The sequence below is a fragment of the Homo sapiens genome, chromosome 3 (assembly GCF_000001405.40).
Source record: "Homo sapiens chromosome 3, GRCh38.p14 Primary Assembly".
NCBI lineage: Eukaryota > Metazoa > Chordata > Mammalia > Primates > Hominidae > Homo > Homo sapiens.
This window is the reverse complement of record NC_000003.12, coordinates 49073969-49094071: the sequence shown is the minus strand read 5'-3', so window position 1 is coordinate 49094071 and position 20103 is coordinate 49073969. Positions and strand designations below refer to the sequence as shown.

General features: G+C 45.9%; 1 protein-coding gene and 1 pseudogene across 10 annotated transcripts in view, besides 2 other annotated features; one reads left to right on the top strand and one right to left on the bottom strand.

Annotated features, from left to right (window-relative positions):
- Positions 1 to 20103, top strand: part of QRICH1 (glutamine rich 1) — a 64667-nt gene that overhangs the window by 302 nt on the left and 44262 nt on the right. For 2 of the 10 annotated variants that reach the window (NM_001320584.1, NM_001320585.1), the window contains exon 2: positions 17034 to 17363. In NM_001320584.1, coding sequence (NP_001307513.1) covers positions 17055 to 17363 — 309 coding nt within the window. In that variant the 5' untranslated portion in view covers positions 17034 to 17054. Of the gene's footprint in view, positions 179 to 461; positions 1125 to 1615; positions 1676 to 17033; positions 17364 to 20103 lie in introns of those variants that run through there. The other 8 variants (NM_017730.4, NM_001320580.2, NM_001320581.2 and 5 more) reach the window with 8 other exon arrangements.
- Positions 117 to 366: a silencer, noted in NCBI's record as "silent region_14353". NCBI's record gives its function as "represses an Ori minimal core promoter by ATAC-STARR-seq in GM12878 lymphoblastoid cells {active_cell/tissue: GM12878}" and the evidence as "EXISTENCE:reporter gene assay evidence [ECO:0000049][PMID:35858748]".
- Positions 365 to 877: an enhancer, noted in NCBI's record as "H3K27ac hESC enhancer chr3:49130628-49131140 (GRCh37/hg19 assembly coordinates)". NCBI's record gives its function as "activates a minimal SCP1, AML or CMV promoter by ChIP-STARR-seq in primed H9 embryonic stem cells {active_cell/tissue: H9 hESC(primed)}" and the evidence as "EXISTENCE:reporter gene assay evidence [ECO:0000049][PMID:30033119]".
- Positions 10540 to 10839, bottom strand: RN7SL182P (RNA, 7SL, cytoplasmic 182, pseudogene; annotated as a pseudogene).

Sequence of the window (20103 nt, the reverse complement as noted above, 5' to 3'; positions counted from 1 at the left end):
ATTGGCTGTGAGGGTTGAATGTAAGATGGCGCCCAGGGAGCTGTGAGGAGAAAACCCTGTCGGTCTTGGAGCGACGACGGCAGAACCAGGGTCCCTGGCGGTGCGGCGGGGCCGGCGGGTGCAGCGGAGGCGGCGGCGGCGGCGGCAGTGACGTCGCCGGGTGAGGGCTCCAGTGCGGGTGGGGATGCGGCGAAGCTGTAGGCCTGAGACGGGGGGCCCACCCCACACAACGGCGGGCGGGGGCGGGCGGGCCACTACCGCTGGGCCCTGGAGAGTTCGGGGCGGCTCCGGAGCCGAAAACGTTCCTGGGCTAGCGCACCCCGCCCTGTGGATGGGGGAGGGGTGGCCCGGGGATTTGGGTGGGCGCGGCGCGAGATGGCGCGCCGGTGCGGGCGCGCGGCTGAGCCTGTTTTTACGCGCGCGCGCTGTGCGGCTCTCGGTGCGCGTGGCCGCCGACGTGCGCGTTCCCGGCCCGGATATCTCTGCTCTAGGAGCTGTGGCCCGTGGGCAACCGCGGCTTTCTGGAGCGCGCGCCCGTGACGACCCCCAGTTTTGGGGCGCGCGCTCTGATATCGGGTGGCGGTGCTGCCTCGAGAGCGCGCAGGAGGCTTCTGCTGAGCAGAGGGCCGGCCGCGGCTCGTTGCGCTGGGAAGGTTGAGGATTGGGTCCTTTCTGGTCTGGTGACGTTCCCGGGCATCCGTGGCCTCGGCCTGGAGAGAAACCAACCAGCTTTGCTGTCTGGCTTGCGGTTCCGCTCCTCTGTGAGGGGGGCGAGATTGCCCGTTCTCCTCGAAGAATGCCGTTACTTGAGGCCCAAGTACGGTGCGGGTGCTTGGGTAGGGTGTTTCTCTGCTTCGGAAACCAAGCCCTCTTGGTTTGAGAGGGCAGTGAGCCCCTTCGGATTTCCTCACCTTGTACTGGGCTTTCTGCCGGGCAGGGAAGGTTAATATTAGAAGGCCCTTGAGTGGTACCTGCTTATCTTTCATTAGAAACTAATACGTCCATAAGCGTAATTCATACACGTCACCTCTGTGCGCTCCGGAAGGGAATTCGCTTATGTGGCCCATGTGAACTCCGAGCTCTAAAATGCCAGTTTAAATCCTTAAACGCAGCTTTTCTTTTGCGTAAGTGGGAGGGGCTTACTTTATTATATTAAAGGCCCACCTTTGCCTCAGCCAAAAAGTTGGCCTTAAACAAAATGGAACAACCTGAGAATCAGTGCTTTACCTTTTTTGAAATTGCAGAAATCCCAGCAGAAATTACTAAAATCTGATAGTGTATCACTGTAAAAGTCACTTTTGGTGTAGGATTTCAGTCCTTTTCAGCTCTTTTTTTGACCCTGCCGCTGTGTTTTGGTGTCAAGGAAGTTCTAGGTTTGTTCTAGAGAAATAGGCACCTCTTTTTTCTAATACAAAACATCTGCTAGTTTGATTTACAGTCTTGCTCAATTAAGCTTAAGGAATAGGAAGCTAAGAGGAAGTAAAATTAGCCATCAAATTTGATAATGGTGGGGTAGTTCTTTCTAATGTACTGTATTGTTTTTAAGAACAAAGTTAAAATTATTAATAAAAAGAGGCTGAGGATGGAAGGAACTTTTTTGTTCTATCTTCTTCAGAATATTAGAAGTCTTAAGAACTCAGGACAAGCAGCAGAAATACATGCAACATGGTGACTGGTGAGTTAAAATTGTTCATATCCTGGAAGTATCTGTGCACAGTTTTTTTTCTGGTAATACTGAAGCATTACAAATCCTGTCAATTCTGGGTGCTGTCTTCCAGAAACTATTAGGTGCTGTAAAATGAAGATGTGGGAGAACGGCATCTTTGAATTCAGCCACAGTTCGCTACTTGCTCAGTTTTCTCCTCTTAGGATATAAGTCAGTGGAACCCGCAGATTTAAGCGTTTGCAGGCTCAGCTTTTAAACGGACCTAAATGGTTCAAAGAAAAGCTGTAAAGTTTTTCTAGGATACACTTAAAATTTTGACTTTTTTTTTTTTTTTGAGACGGAGTCTCACTCTGTCACCCAGGCTGGAGTGCAGGGGTGTGATCTCGGCTCACTGCAACCTCCGCCTCCCTGGTTGAAGCGATTCTCCTGCCTCAGTTTCCCAAGTAACTGGGATTACAGGCATGCAGCACCACACCTGGCTAATTTTTTGTATTTGTAGTATAGACGGGGTTTCACCATGTTGATCAGACTGGTCTCGAACTCCTGACCTCGTGATCCACCCGCCCTCGGCCTCCCAAAGTGCTGGGATTACAGGCGTGAGCCACCGCGCCCGACCAAATTTTGATTAATTTTTTAGGCTTGCTTGTTCTGGGTTATCTTTATTTTTAACTATTAAGCTTGAGATCTTCCTTTTAAATTGGTGTTTATAAATACTTTTTCTCCAAGTTTGTCAACTAAGATTTACTTATTAGATGTCTTCCTTCGGGTCCTCTCTGATGAATTTTTCCTATAACTCTTCGAGAACCTCTGCAGTTCCACATCCTCTCTCCAGCTTATGTTGCCATTTCAAACTAAAGATCAAATAGTGGTTTAATTTTCTTGTAAATTTGAATTGCTCTAGGAAAGTAACCAAAGTCAGGGGCTCTGGATGTGGCTGCCTTTCTTTAAGGCAGCTTCAGAATCAGGGATGTCTTTCCTTACTTTGGATATGCTTTTTTTTTTGGATATGCTTTCTTTTAGTTTAATTAGTTGTGGTTTATACTTCATGTGCCATATTTCTTTCTTGTCTGCTTTTTAAATGGCCACTCTTGATCTGTAAGGGTCTCTGATTTCTGAATTAGCCTTAGAATTAGGTGTTACATGAATACCTGTTCTTTTCTTTTTATTTTTATTATTATTTTTTGAGACGGAGTCTCGCTCTGTTGCCCGGGCTGGAGTGCTGTGGTGCAATCTTGGCTCACTGCAACCTCTGCCTCCTGGGTTCACGCCATTCTCCTGCCTCAGCCTCCGGAGTAGCTGGGACTGCAGGCTCCCGCCACCATGCCTGTCTCATTTTTTGTATTTTTTAGTAGAAACGGGGTTTTACTCTGTTAGCCAGGATGGTCTCAATCTCCTGACCTCGGGATCCTCCCACCTTGGCCTCCCAAAGTGCTGGGATTACAGGCGTGAGCCACCGCGCCTGGCCTATTACCTGTTCTTTTCTGTTATTCTGTTGTACTGCATTTTGTTCCAGATGTTTTAAGTCCTCTTCAGACTTCACTTAAATGCTTCCTTTGTATTTTTTCCTAGTTATTACATTAGATTGTGATTTCTGTTATTAAATTGATGTGGCTGCATGAAGAAATGGTAGATTAATTTCTTCCTTTGCTGAAAGAGGGAAGGAGTGCTCCTTTGGTCTCACTCTTCAGGCCAGGGCAAAACTGTAGGTAGAAATGGTGGCTGTGTCAGAAGGCTAATATTTTTCTCTTTTTCTCTTTTCTCTTTTTTTTTTTTTTTTGAGATGGAGTTTCACTCTTGTCGCCCAGGCTGGAGTGCAGTAGCACGATTTCGGCTCACTGCAACCTCCACCTTCCGGGTTCAAGCAATTCTCCTGCCTCAGCCTCTGGAGTAGCTGGAATTACAGGTGCCCGCCACCACGCTGGGCTAATTTTTTTTTTTTTTTTTTTTGAGACGTAGTCTCGCTCTGCTGCCCAGGCTGGAGTGCAGTGGCACGATCTCGGCTCACTGCAAGCTCCACCTTCTGGGTTCACGCCATTCTCCTGCCTCAGCCTCCCGAGTAGCTGGGACTGCAGGTGCCTGCCACCATGCCCGGCTAATTTTTTGTAGTTTTAGTAGAGACGGGGTTTCACCGTGTTAGCCAGCATGGTCTTGATCTCCTGACCTCGTGATCCGCCCGCCTCGGCCTCCCACAGTGCTGGGATTACAGGCGTGAGCCACTGTGCCCGGCTGATGTCTGGCTAATTTTTTGTATTTGTAGTAGAGACGGAGTTTCACTATGTTGGTCAGGCTGGTCTTGAACTCCTGACCTCGTGGTCTGCCTACCTTGGCCTCCCAAAGTGCTGAGATTACAGGCGTGAGCCACTGCGCCCGCCCATGTTTTTCTTTGTTTTAAAATTTGTGAAATATTTATCCATCCATGTAAATTTAGGCGATCTCTGTACAATTTAATGACAAATTATAAAGTAAATGCTGGCGAAAGTACTACTTTTTCAAGAAATAAAACGATGCCAGTATCTCTGAACCCTTCGTGGGTCCCTTCCTGATCACAGCTTCTCAAGCCGTACAGACAGCTGTTATTCTGTGATAACATTCTTCTTCTTTTTACATTTACCATCTCCGTAGCCCTTAACCTAGTTTAGATTTGTTTCCTTATGAGTTTTGTATAAATGGAGTCATGCTGTATTATGTTGTCTTAGCATAATGTTTCTGAAATTTGTTCACATTGTGTGCAGCTGTTCATTTCCATTTTTTATGTAGTATTCTGTTGTATGAATACACCATAAGGTATTTATCTATTCCACTATTGATAGATATCTGGGTTGCTTCCAGCTTTTGGCTCTTAACAATGCTGCTGTGAACATTCTTGTATTAAGTACCCTTGTTTAAAAAAAAGTTCCTTCATATATACTGATGGGTAAAATTGCTCAGGTTCGTGGAATGGATATTTTCAGCTTCACTAGATAATGCAAGTGGTTGTGCCAGTTTACAATCCGTCAATATTTGGGAAAAATACAAATTTTAGTTTCCTGATTGAAAATAGAACCATGGCCGGGTGCAGTGGCTCATGCCTGTAATCCCATTACTTTAGGAGGCCAATGCGGGCGGATCACCTAAGGTCAGGAGTTCCAGACCAGCCTGGCCAACATGGTGAAATCCCGTCTCTACTAAAAATACAAAAATTAGCAGGGCATGGTGATGGGCGCCTGTAATCCCAACTACTCGGGAAGATGAGGCAGGAGAATCGCTTGAACCTGTAGGCGGAGGTTGCAGTGAACTGAGAGGGCACCATTGCACTCCAAGCTGGGGGACAGAGCGAGACTCCATTTAAAAAAAAAAAAAGAAAAGAAAAAAAGAAAATAGAACCGTGATGAAAATGCCCCTAAACCAGGGACTCCTCTGGCATGGGGCATATAAATGGCCTAATGGGATAACTTCTATCACAAACCCTGCAGTTGGCTAGTATCCTTAAAAATCGAAATATGGGTGGAACACAGTGCCTCATGCCTGTAATCCCAGCAGTTTGGGAGGCCAAGGTGGGAGGATTGCTTGAGCCCCGGAGTTGGAGACCAGCCTGGGCAAGATGGCAAGACCCCATTTCTACAGAAAAATAAAAATAGCTGGATGTGGTAGCATGGACCTGTAGTCCCAGCTACTCGGGAGGCAGAGGCAGGAGGATTGTTTGAGCCCAGGAGTGTGAGGCTGCAGGGATCTATGAATGCACCACTGCATTTTATCCTGGGTAGTGGAGCAAGACCTTGTCTCATTAAAAAAAAAAAAAAAAAAAAAACAGACAAAAGCCTGGTGCAGTGGCTCAGGCATGTAATCCCAGCACTTTGGGAGGTCGAGGGGGGCCGTGGAAATGAACTCCTCACCTGAGGTCAGGAGTTCGAGAACAGCCTGGCCAATATGGTGAAACCCCGATTCTACTAAAAATACAAAAAAATTAGCTGGGCTGGGTGGCGTGCGCCTGTAGTTCAAGCTACTAGGGAGGCTTGAGGCAGGAGAACCACTTGAACCTGGGAAACGGAGGTTGCATTGAGCCGAGATGATGCCATTGCACTCCATCCTGGGTGAGAAAACGAGACTTCGTCTCAAAAAAATAAAAATACAAAGAAACAAAACCCAGGCAAAAGAATAGAAATACGTCAATTCTGGTCGGGCACGGTGGCTCACGCCTGTAATCCCACCACTTTGGGAGGCCGAGGCGGGCAGATCATGAGGTCAGGAGATCGAGAGCATCCTGGCTAGCACGGTGAAACTTTCTCTCTACTAAAAAATACAAAAAAATTAGCTGGATGTGGTGGCGGGCGCCTGTGGTCCCAGCTACTTGGGAGGCTGAGGCAGGAGACTGGCGTGAACCCGGGAGACAGAGCTTGCAGTGAGCCGAGATTGTGCCACTGCATTCCAGCCTGGGTGACAGAGTGAGACTCTGTCTCAAAAAAAAAAAAATAAATGAAATAAAATGAATATATTCACATGGAAAAAAAATCAATTTCCATTTTAAGGAGTCATGTCTGTCTTATAAACATATGGAGTTATTTCAAAGAAGCATAGAAGACATTGTTCTTTTTTTTTTTTTTTTTTTTTGAGATGAACCTCCGCCTCCTGAGTTCAAGCAATTCTTCTGCCTCAGCCTCCCGAGTAGCTGGGACTACAGGCGCATGGTACCCCGCCTGGCTAATTTTTGTATTTTTAGTAGAGATGGGGTTTCACCATGTTGGCCAGGCTGGTCTTGAACTCCTGACCTCGTGATATGCCCGACTCGGCCTTCCAGCGTGCTAGGATTACAGGCATGAGCCACTGCACCTGGCCTATTTTTTTATTTTTATTTTTTTTAAATTTATTTTTCTTATTATTTTTTGAGATGGAGTCTTGCTCTGTTGCCCAGGCTGGAGTGCAGTGGTGCGATCGTGGCTCACTGCAACCTTCGCCTCCCGGGTTCAAGTAATTCTCCTGCCTCAGCTTCCCTAGTAGCTGGGACTACAGGCACCACACCTGGCTAATTTTTGTATTTTTAGTAGAGACAGGGTTTCACCATATTAGCTAGGCTGGTCTCAAACTCCTTGTGATCTGCCTGCCTCAGCCTCCCAAACTGCTGGGATTATAGGCGTGAGCCACTGTGCCTGGCCTATTTTATTTTATTTTTTTGAGACAGAGTTTTGCTCTTGTTGCCCGGGCTGGAGTGCAGTGGCGCGATCTCGGCTCACTGCAACCTCCGGCTGCTGGGTGCAAGTGATTCTCCTGCCTCAGCCTCCCGAGTAGCTGAGGTTACAGGTGCCCACCACCACGCCTGGCTAATTTTTGTGTTTTTGGTAGAGATGGGATTTCACCACGTTGGCCAGACTGGTCTTGAACTCCCAACCTCAGGTGATCCGCCCACCTCAGCCTCCCAAAGTGCTGGGGATTACAGGCGTGAGCCACTGCACCGGGCCCCATATGAATGTATTCAAACTGGACTAAGCTATGAAGAGCCATTGTTGGAGTAGATGTGAACCTTGAGGGGCCTCAAAGCCCAAGGAAGAGGTAAGGTTCTGAGGCAGTTCAGACTTCTTTTAGTCCATCACGGATTGAAGACTCACTCTGCAGAGCCATACAGGGGGCCCAAAAGAGGTATCAGGGATAAGAAACCCAAGAAACAGTGATTGCAATAAGATCTTCCCTTGGTACCTAAACGGAAAAAAGAAAAAAATTAGCAAACAGACCTATAGAAATGTAATAGATTGTTGTTTTGGAGTAACCTTTGTCCATGGTACCATCTTATGTTCTAATAATAAAATAATAAAAATAATAACTCATGTAGTGAAGAATTGCTGTGCATCAGGCACTATGCTAAGCTCCAGTAGGAGGAAATACAGAGGAGCCAGGCGCAGTGGCTCACACCTGTAATCCCAGTTTTGGGAGGCTGAGGATCACGAGGTCAGGAGATCGAGACCATCCTGGCTAACACGGCGAAACCCCGTCTCTACTAAAAATACAAAAAAATTAGCCGGGCGTGGTGGTGGGTGCCTGTAGTCCCAGCTACTTGGGAGGCTGAGGCAGGAGAATGGTGTGAATCCAGGAGGTGGAGCTTACAGTGAGCCGAGATCGCACCATTGCACTCCAGCCTGGGCGACAGAGTGAGACTCCATCTCAAAAAAAAAAAAAGAAAAAGAAAAAGAGGGAGATACAGAGGAGATACCAGTGAACAATTTGATTTTATACCAGCAAAAATGTCCAGGGTCTGTTTAAGGGAGGGCTGGCTTTCCTTTATTGTTACTTATTTTTTTTTTTTTACAATGCAGCTATATTTAAAAGCGTTTAGAAGTAAATGCTTGTTTACAGACCTCATACACCCCAAGAGCATTAGAGTATTTTCTTTTTTCATTATTAGTCTCATCAGAGTCCCAGAAATTGGGAACACTCAGATATCCTCATGGCTGCATGTTTTTCAGAAATACTTTAATTAATTTCTTTATTGCTTCTTACTAAGTCTTTTACTTGGAGCTAATTAAGAATCTTTTGTCTCTTTTAGAAGTTTCTCCATTTCTCTTTATTACGAAGGCTCAACTTTTGTGTCTTATGTGCAGCATCTTGAAGTTAAGTCTTCATTATTTTGTACAAGTTTTTGGTATTTTATGGTTTAGTTTCTTTTTCTTTTTTTTTTTTTTGAGATGGAGTTTTGCCCTTGTTGCCCAGGCCGGAGTGCAGTGGCATGGTCTTGGCTCACTGCAACCTCCACCTCCCAGGTTCAAGCGATTCTCCTGTCTCAGCCTTCCGAGTAGCTGGGATTACAGGCACGTGTCACCACACCTGGCTAATTTTTTTTGTATTTTTAGTAGAGGCGGGGTTTCATCATGTTGGTCAGGCTGGTCTCAAACTACTGACCTCAGGTGATCCACCCACCTCGGCCTCCCAAAGTGCTGGGATTACAGGTATGAGCCACCTCGTTCGGCAGGTTTAGTTTCTTTCAGATTTTGAAAGAAAATCGTACTATGATCAACCAGAATTACGTGTCTGTTACCATTACTACACTATAACCACTTGTATTTTTAGTAGAGATGGGGTTTCACCGTGATAGCCAGGATGGTCTCGATCTCCTGACCTGGTGATCCGCCTGCCTCGGCCTCCCAAAATGCTGGGATTACAGGCATGAGCCACCTCTTTCGGCCGGTTTAGTTTCTTTCAGATTTTGAAAGAAAATCATACTATGATCAGCCAGAATTATGTGTCTTACCATTACTACACTATAGCCACTGTGTAGAAAAAGATGATTTTTTTTTTTTTGAGACGGAGTCTTGCTCTGTCGCCCAGGCTGGAGTGCAGTGGCACGATCTTGGCTCACTGCAAGCTCCACCTCCCAGATTCACACCATTCTCCTGCCTCAGCCTCCCGAGTAGCTGGGACTACAGGCGCCCAACACCACACCCGGCTAATTTTTTTGTATTTTTAGTAGAGACGGGGTTTCACCGTGATAGCCAGGATGGTCTCGATCTCCTGATCTGGTGATCTGCCTGCCTCGGAAAGTGCTGGGATTACAGGCGTGAGCCTTAGATTAATACCACTTGTGGAAAATTCAGAAGAGTGTTTAACAGAAGAAACTTAATTACTCTGTGGTTCCATCATCTAGGCATAACTACTGTTAGCATTCCTTTTTATCATTTTTTGAGGTGGAGTCTCACTCTTTCCCCAGGCTGAAGTGCAGTGGCGCAGTCTCAGCTCACTACAACCTCCGCCTCCCGGATTCAAGCAATTCTCCTGCCTCAGCCTCTAGAGTAGCTGGGATTACGGGTGGCTGCCACCATGCCCTGTTAGTTTTTGTATTTTTAGTGGAGATGGGGTTTCACCATGTTGGCCAGGCTGGTCTCACAATCTTGGCTGGATGTGATGGCTCACGCCTGTAATCCTAGCACTTTGGGAGACCGATGCTGTGGATCGCTTGAGGTCAGGAGTTTGAGTACATCCTGACCAACATGGCGAAATCCCGTCTCTACTAAAATACAAAAATTAGCTGGGCATGGTGGCGGGTGCCCGTAATCCCAGCCACTTTGGAGGCTGAGGCAGGAGAATTGCTTGAACCTAGGAGGCGGAGGTTTCAGTGAGCCAGGATCGTGCCACTACGCTCCAGCCTGGGCGACAGAGCAACACTGTGTCTCAATAAAAATAAAAATAAAAAAGAATTTAGGCTGGGTGTGGTTGCTCATGCCTGTAATCCCAGCACTTTGGAAGGTGGAAGCGAGTGGATTACCTGAGGTTAAGAGTTCGAGACCAGCCTGGCCAACATGGCAAAACCTCATCTCTACTAAAAATATAAAAATTAGCCGGATGTGGGCCGGGTGCGGTGGCTCATACCTGTAATCCCAGCACTTTGGGAGGCTGAGGCGGGTGGATCATGAGTTTAGGAGTTCAAGACCAGCTTGGCCAAGATGGTGAAACCCTGCCTCTACTAAAAATACAAAAATTAGCCAGGCACGGTGGCAGGTGCCTGTAATCCTAGCTACTCGGGAGGCTGAGGCAGGAGAATCGCTTGAACCTGGGGGGCACGGAGGTTGCAGTGAGCCAAGATTGTGCCTCCTGGGTTCAAGCGATTCTCCTGCCTCAGCCTCCCAAGTAGCTGGGACTACAGGTATGCAGCACCACACCTGGCTAATTTTTTTTTTTTGAGATGGAGTCTCACTCTGTCACCCAAGCTGGAGTGCAGTGGCATGATCATAGCTCATTGCAGGCTCAAACTGCTGGGATCAAGCCATCCTATCCTCCTGCCTCGGCCTCCCAAGTAGCTGGGACTACAGGCGAGAACCACCATGCCAAGCTTAGTATTGATATTTTCTAATGGTTTTATGGAATTTTTCCTACCTCAAGCTTGTTTGTCTTTTAAATTATTACTATTATTTCTAAGAGATGGGATCTCACTGTGGTGCCCAGGTTGGAGTGCTGTGGCTATCCACAGACAGGATTCTACTACTGCAGTATGGAAGTTTTGACCTGCCCCATTTCCAACCTGGGGTGGTTCACCCCTCTTTAGGCAACCTGGTGATTCCCTGCTCCCTTGAAGTCACCATATTGATGCTGAACTTAGTGTGGACACCCGATTGGCATAGAGCACTATAGCCCAGAACTCCTGGACTACTCAAGCAATCCTCCTGTTTCAGTCTCTTGAGTAGCTGGGACTGCAGGCATGCACCATCATCCCAGGCTCCCCCCCCCCCTTTTTTTTTTTTTTTTGAGACAGAGTCTCACTTTGTCGCCAGGCTGGAGTGCAATGGTGCGATCTTGGCTCACTGCAACCTCCGCCTCCCAGGTTCAAGCGATCCTCCTGCCTCAGCCTCCCAAGTAGCTGGGATTACAGGCATGCTCTACCATGCCCAACTCATTTTGTATTTTTAGTAGAGACGGGGGTTCTCCATGTTAGTCAGGCTGGTCTCGAACTCCCGACCTCAGGTTATCCACCTTCCTTGGCCCCCCAAAGTCCATAGTGCTAGGATTACAGGCGTGAGTCACCACACCTGGCCTTTTTTTCTTTTTTTTTTTTTTTGAGACGCAGTCTTGCTCTGTCGCCCAGGCTGGAGTGCAGTGGTGTGGTCTCGGCTCACTGCAAGCTCTGCCTCCCAGGTTTACGCCAGTCTCCTGCCTCAGCCTCCCGAGTAGCTGGGACTACAGGCGCCTGCCACCACGCCAGGGTAATTTTTTGTATTTTTAGTAGAGACAGGGTTTCACCGTGTTAGCCAGGGTGGTCTCGATCTCCCGACCTCGTGATCCACCCACCTCAGCCTCCCAAAGTGCTGGGATTACAGGCGTGAGCCACCGTGCCCGGCTTTTTTTTTCTTTTTTTTTAAATGGAAGGCTTAAAGAATGGATTTTGATGGTTTATAGCAAGTAACTTTTTGAAGCTTTTATTTTTTCTGACAGCTGAATATCTAGCTTATTTGCCTTTTTGCTCAGGAAATAAATGTATATTTGGACTAGAGTTTCTTATAGTAACTTTTTAAAGGTACTATTCTAGAAATACTGGCTGGTAGGATTTATTTGGAGATGACATAGGCAGCAGAATTGTTTTAATCATATCTTTGGAACCTTGATTGACAAAAAATATGTTCTGGACTTTGGTATGAAATGTATTCTAAAACTAAAATATTGATTAAATAGAAGTTATATTCACTTAGCTAAATGTTTGTCAAAAATAGAGGACACCTTGCTGGGCGCAGTGGCTCATGCCTGTAATCCTAGCACTTTGGGAGGTTGGGCAGATCGCTTGAGGTGAGGAGTTTGAGACCAGGCTGGCCAACATAGCAAAACTCCATCTCCACTGAAAATACAAAAATTAGCCGGGTATGGGGGCAGGTGCCTTGTAATTCCAGCACTTTGGGAGGCCAAGGCCAGCAGATTACAAGGTCAGGAGTTCGAGACCAGCTTAGCCAACACGGTGATACCCTGTCTCTACTAAAAATACAAAAATTAGCTGGGCATGGTGGCGTATGCCTGTAATCCCAGCTACTTTGGAGACTGAGGCAGGAGAATGGCTGGGACCCGGGAGACAGAGGTTGCAGTGAGTAGAGATGACGCCACTGCACTCCAACCTGGGCTACAGAGCAAGACTCTGTCTCAAAAAAAAAAAAAATAGAAGGCTTCGGCCAGGCATGGTGGCTCACGCCTGTAATCCCAGCAGTTTGGGAGGCCGAGGTGGGCAGATCTCTTGAGCCCAGGAGTTTGAGAACAGCGTGGGCAACATGGCAAAACCCTGTCTCTCTAACAAATACTGTAATTAGCTGGGCGTGATGGTACACGCCTGTAGTCCCAGCCGCTTGGGCGGCTCAGGTGAGAGGAACAATTGATCCCAGGAGGTTGAGGTTGCAGTGAACCAAGATCTTACCACTGCACTCCATCCTGGGTGATAGAATAAGACCTTGTCTAAAGAAACCAACAACAAAAAATCAGGGGTGTGGAACTTTAATTTCCTGATCTTACATAGTGAGAACTCCATAGATACTCTGAAATTTTTTTTTTTTTTTTTTTAAGATGGAGTCTCACTCTGTTGCCTAGGCTGGAGGGCAGTGGTGCAGTCTCGGCTCACTACAACCTCCATCTCCTGGGTTCAAGTGATTCTCCTGTCTCAGCCTCCTGAGTAGCTGGGATTACAGGAATGTGCCATCATGCCCGGCTAATTTTTATATTTTTAGTAAAGGCAGGGTTTCACCATGTTGGCCAGGCTGGTCTCGATCTCCTGCCCTCAGGCGATCCACCCAGCTCAGCCTCCCAAAGTGCTGGGATTAGAGGCCTGAGCCACCGCACCTGGCCAATACTCTAAAATTAATGAGTCTGCAAGTAGAGGCTTAAAGGTATGAAAGTAATCATAACAAAACTAAGAATAAAAATGTGATTGGCAGGGTTTGGTGAGAGGAGGGTGATTTTTAGTTTTTTATTTATAATTTTTTTAGGCTTTTTTTTTTTTTTTTTTTTTTTTTTGAGATGGAGTTTCGTTCTTGTTGCCCAGCCTGGAGTGCAATGGCATGATGAAGAACTAGAGGTCAAAGCATACTTAGCTGTTTTTACTTTTTATTTTATATCTTTTTATACTATTATAATGGTTTTTCTTAGTTGAGTTTCATATCCCTGTCCCCAACCCCCCAAGAAACCTCCAAAAACAAAACAAAAACTAGGTGGAATTCTATACTGAATACTGAAGAAAGCTTGTTTCTAGGAAGAAAAGAAGAAAAGTCGGTGAAATTATCCTTTACACTTAATATCAGAGTTGAGGTGAGGCTTAAGCTGCCCCTTCTGAGTTTCTGAAACTTGAAATACAAGAGTGAGGAGAAATAGGGTTACTAGGAGGATCATAGAGACTGGCTTTACTGGGCAATAGTCACGAAGGTTTTTCAGTTCTGTAAACTTTGTTTGAGGTGTTTCTTTTTTCTTGTTTTTTTTTAAATTATTTTTTGTTGTTGTTTTTGTTTTGTTTGATATTGAATTCCCATCTACTCCGTTGGGAAGCAGTGTTTCTTTGTATTGGTGTTTAGTCATTTGTTTTTTCCCAGACTTCAGACAAAACAGGTTTTTGCTGCATGTAAAAACGCTTTACTTTTGTACCTTAAAAAAAAAATTGCTTTTTATAGTAGCTTTGAAAATTTAATCAGTCTCAGTATATTATGTGAATGCAACTGACAGTTGAAGAAAATACATTTCAGGAAATGTAAATTCCAGCTGACCTCTGCTGCTCTTTTATAATGGAGATGAAAAACTGAAATTATGTACCAGCATGGTAGAGGACCTGTTAATGGCTGCTCATATAATCTCTCCTTTGTCCCCTTTTGAGCAGAAGGGTATATGTGATTAGATATTAGAGTTTCATAACTTTCTAATGTTACCGGATCTCTATTATGAAAGATGCCTTTTTTTTTTTTTTTGAGATAGAGTCTCAGTCTGGCGCCCAGGCTGGAGCGCAGTGGCACGATCTCGGCTCACCGCAACCTCTGCCTCCTGGGCTCAAGCAATTCTCCTGCCTCGGCCTCCCGAGTAGCTGGTATTACAGGTGCCTGACACCATGCCTGGCTAATTTTTGTATTTTTAGTAGAGACAGGGTTTCGCCTTGTTGGCCAGGCTGGTCTCAAACTCCTGACCTCAGGTGATCTGCCTGCCTTTGCCTCCCAAAGTGCTGGGATTACAGGCGTGAGCCACCGCACTGGGCTGAAAGATGCCTTCTTAAGGAAATCGCTACTGTGCTATTAACAAAGGGGAACTTTGATACATTCTGTGCAAGTGTGGCAAATGAGTGCTCTCGGATCACCTAAGCCAAGTAGCCTTCTCTGAATCTGTAGTTAGGCAAAGTGTGCTTGGCCTGATGCTCTCTTTATGTGTGATGTGGACATCGTTGACCACTTAATTATTATTATTTTATTATAGTATTTTATTATAATTGTTATAATATTTAATTATTATAATTATAATATTTTTATATTTATGTAAAAATTATATTTATATTACATAATTGTAATTATTATAATATTTTATTATAATTATTTATTTTATTTTATTTATTTATTTCTTTTAACAGATGAAAGTCTCTCTAGGTTTCCCAGCCCAAAGACCTGGTCTCAAGCAATCCTCCACCTCAGCCTCCTGAGTAGCTGAGACTACATGTGTGCACCACTGTGACCAGCTGATAACTTAATTTTTTTGTTTGTTTGTTTGTTTGTTTTTTTTAGACAGAGTTACGCTCTGTCGCCTAGGCTGGAGTGCATTCGAGTGATCTCGGGTCACTGCAGCCTCGATCTCTGGGCTCAAGCAATCCTTCTACCTTAGCCTCCGTAGTAGCTGGGACTACAGGTGCATACCACCATACCCAGTTAATTTTTATATATTTTTTGTAGAGATGGGGTTTCTCCATGTTGCCTGGGCTGAGGTGGAAGGATTGCTTGAGTCCGTGGAGCTATGGATATTACAGAAACCAATTGGGTGGCTCACGTCTATAATCCCAGCACTTTGGGAGGCCGAGGCGGGAGGGTCACCTGAAGTCAGGAGTTTGAGACCAGCCAGGCCAACATGGCAAAACCCAGTCTCTACTAAAAATACATAAATTAGCTGGGCATGGTGGTGGGCACCTGTAGTCCCAGCTACTCGGGAGGCTGAGGCAGGAAAATCACTTGAACCTGGGAGGCTGCAGTGAGCCGAGATCGTGCCACTGCACTCCAGCCTGGGCGACAGAGGGAGACTCCAACTCAAAAAAAAAAAAAAAAAAAAAGGACAGGTGTGGTGGCTCACGCCTGTAATCTCAGCACTTTGGGAGGCTGAGGCAGGCGGATCACGAGGTCAGGAGATCGAGACCATCCTGGCTAAGATGGGGAAACCTCGTCTCTACTAAAAATACAAAAAAATTAGCTGGGCGTGGTGGTGGGCGCCTGTAGTCCCAGCTACTCGGGAGGCTGAGGCAGGAGAATGGTGTGAACCCAGGAGGTGGAGCTTGCAGTGAGCCAAGATCAAGCCACTGCACTCCAGCCTGGGCAACAGAATGAGACTCCATCTCAAAAAAAAAAAAAAAAAAAAAAAAAAGGAACCATAATTCTTCGTTTTCCACATTGAATTTCAAATGCAGCAGGTATATATGAAGCAACTACCATGGGTGAGCTATTCGGAGAGAACCAGGACATAGTCTTGTCTACCAAGAACTTAGAGCCTAGGTAGAAGAAAGGAGACGTTTACCCACATATTTTATATCTGTAACATAAGGTAGAGCATCTGGTCAGTCTAGTGTATCTATCCTGATTGCTCAAGGGAACAAATCACCTTTCCAGACATTCAGAATTGTCTGATAATCCTTTTTGGCAAAAACGTTCGCTTGTTTTCTGTTACTCTTTCATCCTGCTGCTACTTTTGTTCTGGAGGTCGGGCTGTTGAAGGGAGGATGGTACAAAGGTAGCAGCGACAGGGGTCAGCAGTCCACAGATTGCACACTTTTCCCTCAGATGATGAGAGTTAACTGTACGTCTGCAGGTTAATTCTTAAGGTAATTAAATACCTGATGAAAACTTGTAGAATTTATTTCTGAATTTTAGTAGTGACCTGGATATTTAAAGCACTATTTACCTTTTTTCCAGAATTATTTTAATAGTATTAGTTACATTTCTGTAGTGCTATCTATGTGCTAGATGATTTTCTAAATGCCTTATTTAATCCTTATGTCAACTGTGAGGTAAGTACTATTGTGTCCCCATTTACTCACAAGAAAACTAAGGTTAATTGACTTTTCTAGAGTTACATAATAAAGGAGACATAAAGTTGGGATTTGAACCCAGGCAGCCTGGCTCCAGAGTCCATGCTTTTAACCAGTAGTAAGCTGTGTTGCAAAAGAATGTGAGCACCACATGGCAAAATAGGATTTTTGGTTTTTCTGATGGGAGATGAAGAACATATCCTCTGCCTCTTGTGTCTTGCCACAACTAGGTGGCATACCTATCTCTGCTGTAGGAAATACTTGGAAATAAAACATATCCATAGGAATCCCTGCCCCTAGCTTCCTCCTTGCTTGGTGTCCTCTCTGTGATGGTCACAGAGCAGTTTTGCATGTGACATTTACTGTCCAGTGCTTGGCTCTGCAGAGAAGATGGGATTGACCTAGTGCTGGGTAGGAAGTGTGTTTTCAGCCTGTTTCATCCAGTATTGTGAAGCATGTGTTTGTTTTTTTGTTTTCAGTGTGATAGTTTTATTTAAGAAATGTTAATAGAAATAATTTTCAAACATCCATTAATTGAAAAAATAAGGTGGTATAATAAAACTTTATTTTTTGATTCTATATGTATACAGCTGCCCTGAATATATTCCACTCTTGTGCAAGGGTAATTGCTTCTGGGCATTTCCTGCTAAAAACAGTAACATAATTTTGACTTCTGTTTATTTCTAGGAACCCTAAGGACTCTGCAATATGAATAATTCCCTAGAGAACACCATCTCCTTTGAAGAGTACATCCGAGTAAAGGCACGGTCTGTCCCGCAACACAGGATGAAGGAATTTCTGGACTCACTGGCCTCTAAGGGGCCAGAAGCCCTTCAGGAGTTCCAGCAGACAGCCACCACTACCATGGTGTACCAACAGGGTGGGAACTGCATATACACAGACAGCACTGAAGTGGCTGGGTCTTTGCTTGAACTTGCCTGTCCAGTCACCACCAGTGTTCAGCCACAAACCCAGCAAGAACAGCAGATCCAGGTTCAGCAGCCGCAGCAGGTTCAGGTATATGGGAAATGCTGAGGTGCAGCCTGTTTAATGTACTTTATTTGTTGTCAGTGTTTTAGTTAGTGGGCTCATCACATCTATGTGGATGTTATAGGTTATTTAACACTAAGATTTTCAAAGTTAATGTGGACTAAAAGTTTTTTCTTTCTTCTCCTTTTTCTTTAAGCTTTTTTTTTTTTTTAAACAAACCCCAGTGTCAAGGACTGACTTTGAATAGATTGCAGCCAGGGATCTGCTTAGCTACCTAGGAAACCCCAACCCAGAAGCGGGTCATCTATGATTGGTTTAGCATCAGGTTCAACGTGACTTGCGTGATGAGTGAGGGGGCGCCACCTTTCTGGCAGCACCTTTTCCCAGGATGAGGGGCTCTCCACACCGGAACCCGGTCCCGGCACGTGACCCCGCCGGCGGCGATGTCAGTGATGGTGGGGGACTGGCTTTCCGAGGCTGACCAACACTGTGGTGCTGCCATGTCATTGTACTTGGGTTGTTTTCTTTGTTTGTTTCTTCTTTTTTTGAGATGGAGTCTTGCACTGTGGTCCAGGATGGATTCTCCTGCCCCAGCCTCCTGAGTAGCTGGGATTCCAGGTGCCTGCCAACACACTCGGCTAATTTTTTATACTTTTAATAGAGACGGGGTTTCACTATGTTGGCCAGGCTGGTCTTGAACTCCTGACCTCATGATCCACCTGCCTCCTTATCCAAAAGTGCTGGGATTACAGGCATGAGCCACCGCACCCGGCCACACCTGGGTTGTTTTTTTCTTTTCTTTTTTGAGACAGAGTCTCATTCTGTCACCCAGGCTGGAGTGCAGTGGTGCATTCTTGCCTCTGTCCCCCGGGTTCAAGCTATTCTCATGCCTCAGACTCCTGAGTAGCTGGGACTACAGGTGTGCACTACCACCCTCAGCAATTTTTGTTGTATTTTTAATACAGACTGGGTTTCCCCATGTTGGGCTTGAACTCCAGACCTCAAGAGATCTGCGTGCCTTGGCCTCCCAAAGTGCCAAAGTGCTGGGATTACTGGTGTGAGCCACCATGCCCAGCCTTTTTTTTGTTTGTTTGTTTTTTCTTTGAGTTGGAGTTTCGCTCTTGTTGTCCAGGCTAGAATGCAATGGAGCCATCTCGGCTCACTGCAACCTGCACCTCTTGGGTTCAAGCGATTCTCCTACCTCAGCTTCCTGAGTAGCTGGGATTGCAAGCATGTGCTACCACGCCCGGCTAATTTTTGTATTTTTAGTAGAGACTGGGTTTCACCTTGTTGGCCAGGCTGGTCTCGAACTTCTGACCTCAGGTAATCTGCCCTTCTCGGGCTCCCAAAGTGCTAGGATTACAGGCATGAGCCACGGCGCCTGACTTTTTTTTTTTTTTTTTTTGAGGGACAGGGTCTTGCTCTGTCACCTAGGCTGGAGTGCAGTGGCACGATCACTCCTCACTGCAGCTTTGACCTCCAAGGCTTAAGCGATCATCCAGCCTCAACCTCCAAGTAGCTGGGACCACAGGCATGTACCACCACGTGCAGCTAATTAATTAATTTTTTTTTTTTTTGTAGAGATATAGTCTCCCTATGTTGCCCAGGCTGGTCTTGAACTCTTGGCCTCAAGATATTCTCCTGCCTTGGCCTCCCAAAGAGCTGAGATTACAAATATGAGCTGCCATGCCTGGCCTTAAAAATATTTTCGAGTACTGTAAACTAAAAACACCACAGATATTTGGTCTTTTTTATTTAAGATGGAGTCTCGCTCTGTTGCCCAGGCTGGACTGCAGTGGTGCAATCTCAGCTCACTGCAAGCTCTGCCTCCCAGGTTCACGCCATTCTCCTGCCTCAGCCTCCCAGGTAGCTGGGACTACAGGCAGCTGCCACCACGCCCAGCTAATTTTTTTGTGTTTTTAGTAGAGACGGGGTTTCACCATGTTAGCCAGGATGGTCTCGATCTCCTGACCTCGTGATCCACCTGCCTCGGCCTCCCAAAGTGCTGGGATTACAGGCATGAGCCACTGCGCCTGGCCCAAATATTTGATCTTTGCTGTGGAGAGCTGAATAGTTTTGAAATTAGAGATCTTTTGGTACTGGGTTTAGGTGTGATAGCTTCATATGACTGAGGCTTCCTTTCTTTTCTTTTGTATTTTTTCCTGAGATGGAGTCTCGCTCTGTCCCCCAGGCTGGAGTGCAGTGGTGTGACCTTGGCTCTCTGCAAGCTCCGCCTCCCGGGTTCACGCCATTCTCCTGCCTCAGCCTCCCGAGTAGCTGGGACTACAGGCGCCAGCCACCATGCCTGGCTAATTTTTTGTATTTTAAGTAGAGACGGGGTTTCACCATGTTAGCCAGCATGGTCTCGATCTCCTGACCTCATGATCCGCCCACCTCGGCCTCCCAAAATGCTGGGATTACAGGTGTGAGCCACCACGTCCATCTGAGGCTTCCTTTCTATTTGTGTCATCCTGAATAGAGACAGAACACAGGAGGGCTGGTCTTGGCTGATTACTGATAGTGTAACATTTGAAATTAATTTAAAAATGGAAAGGCTGATGTATTTCAGTGATCTTCATTAACTTGTGTGATTCCATAACTCAGATTACGTATGGATTTCTGGGTCTGTGTTTGTTGTTTCTAAACCACAAAACGGCTAAGTGCATTTGTGAATGCCTGTAATCCCAGCACTTTGGGATGCCAAGGTGGACGGATCATTGAGTCCAGAAGTTTGAGGCCAGCCTGGGCAACATGGCAAAACCCCGTC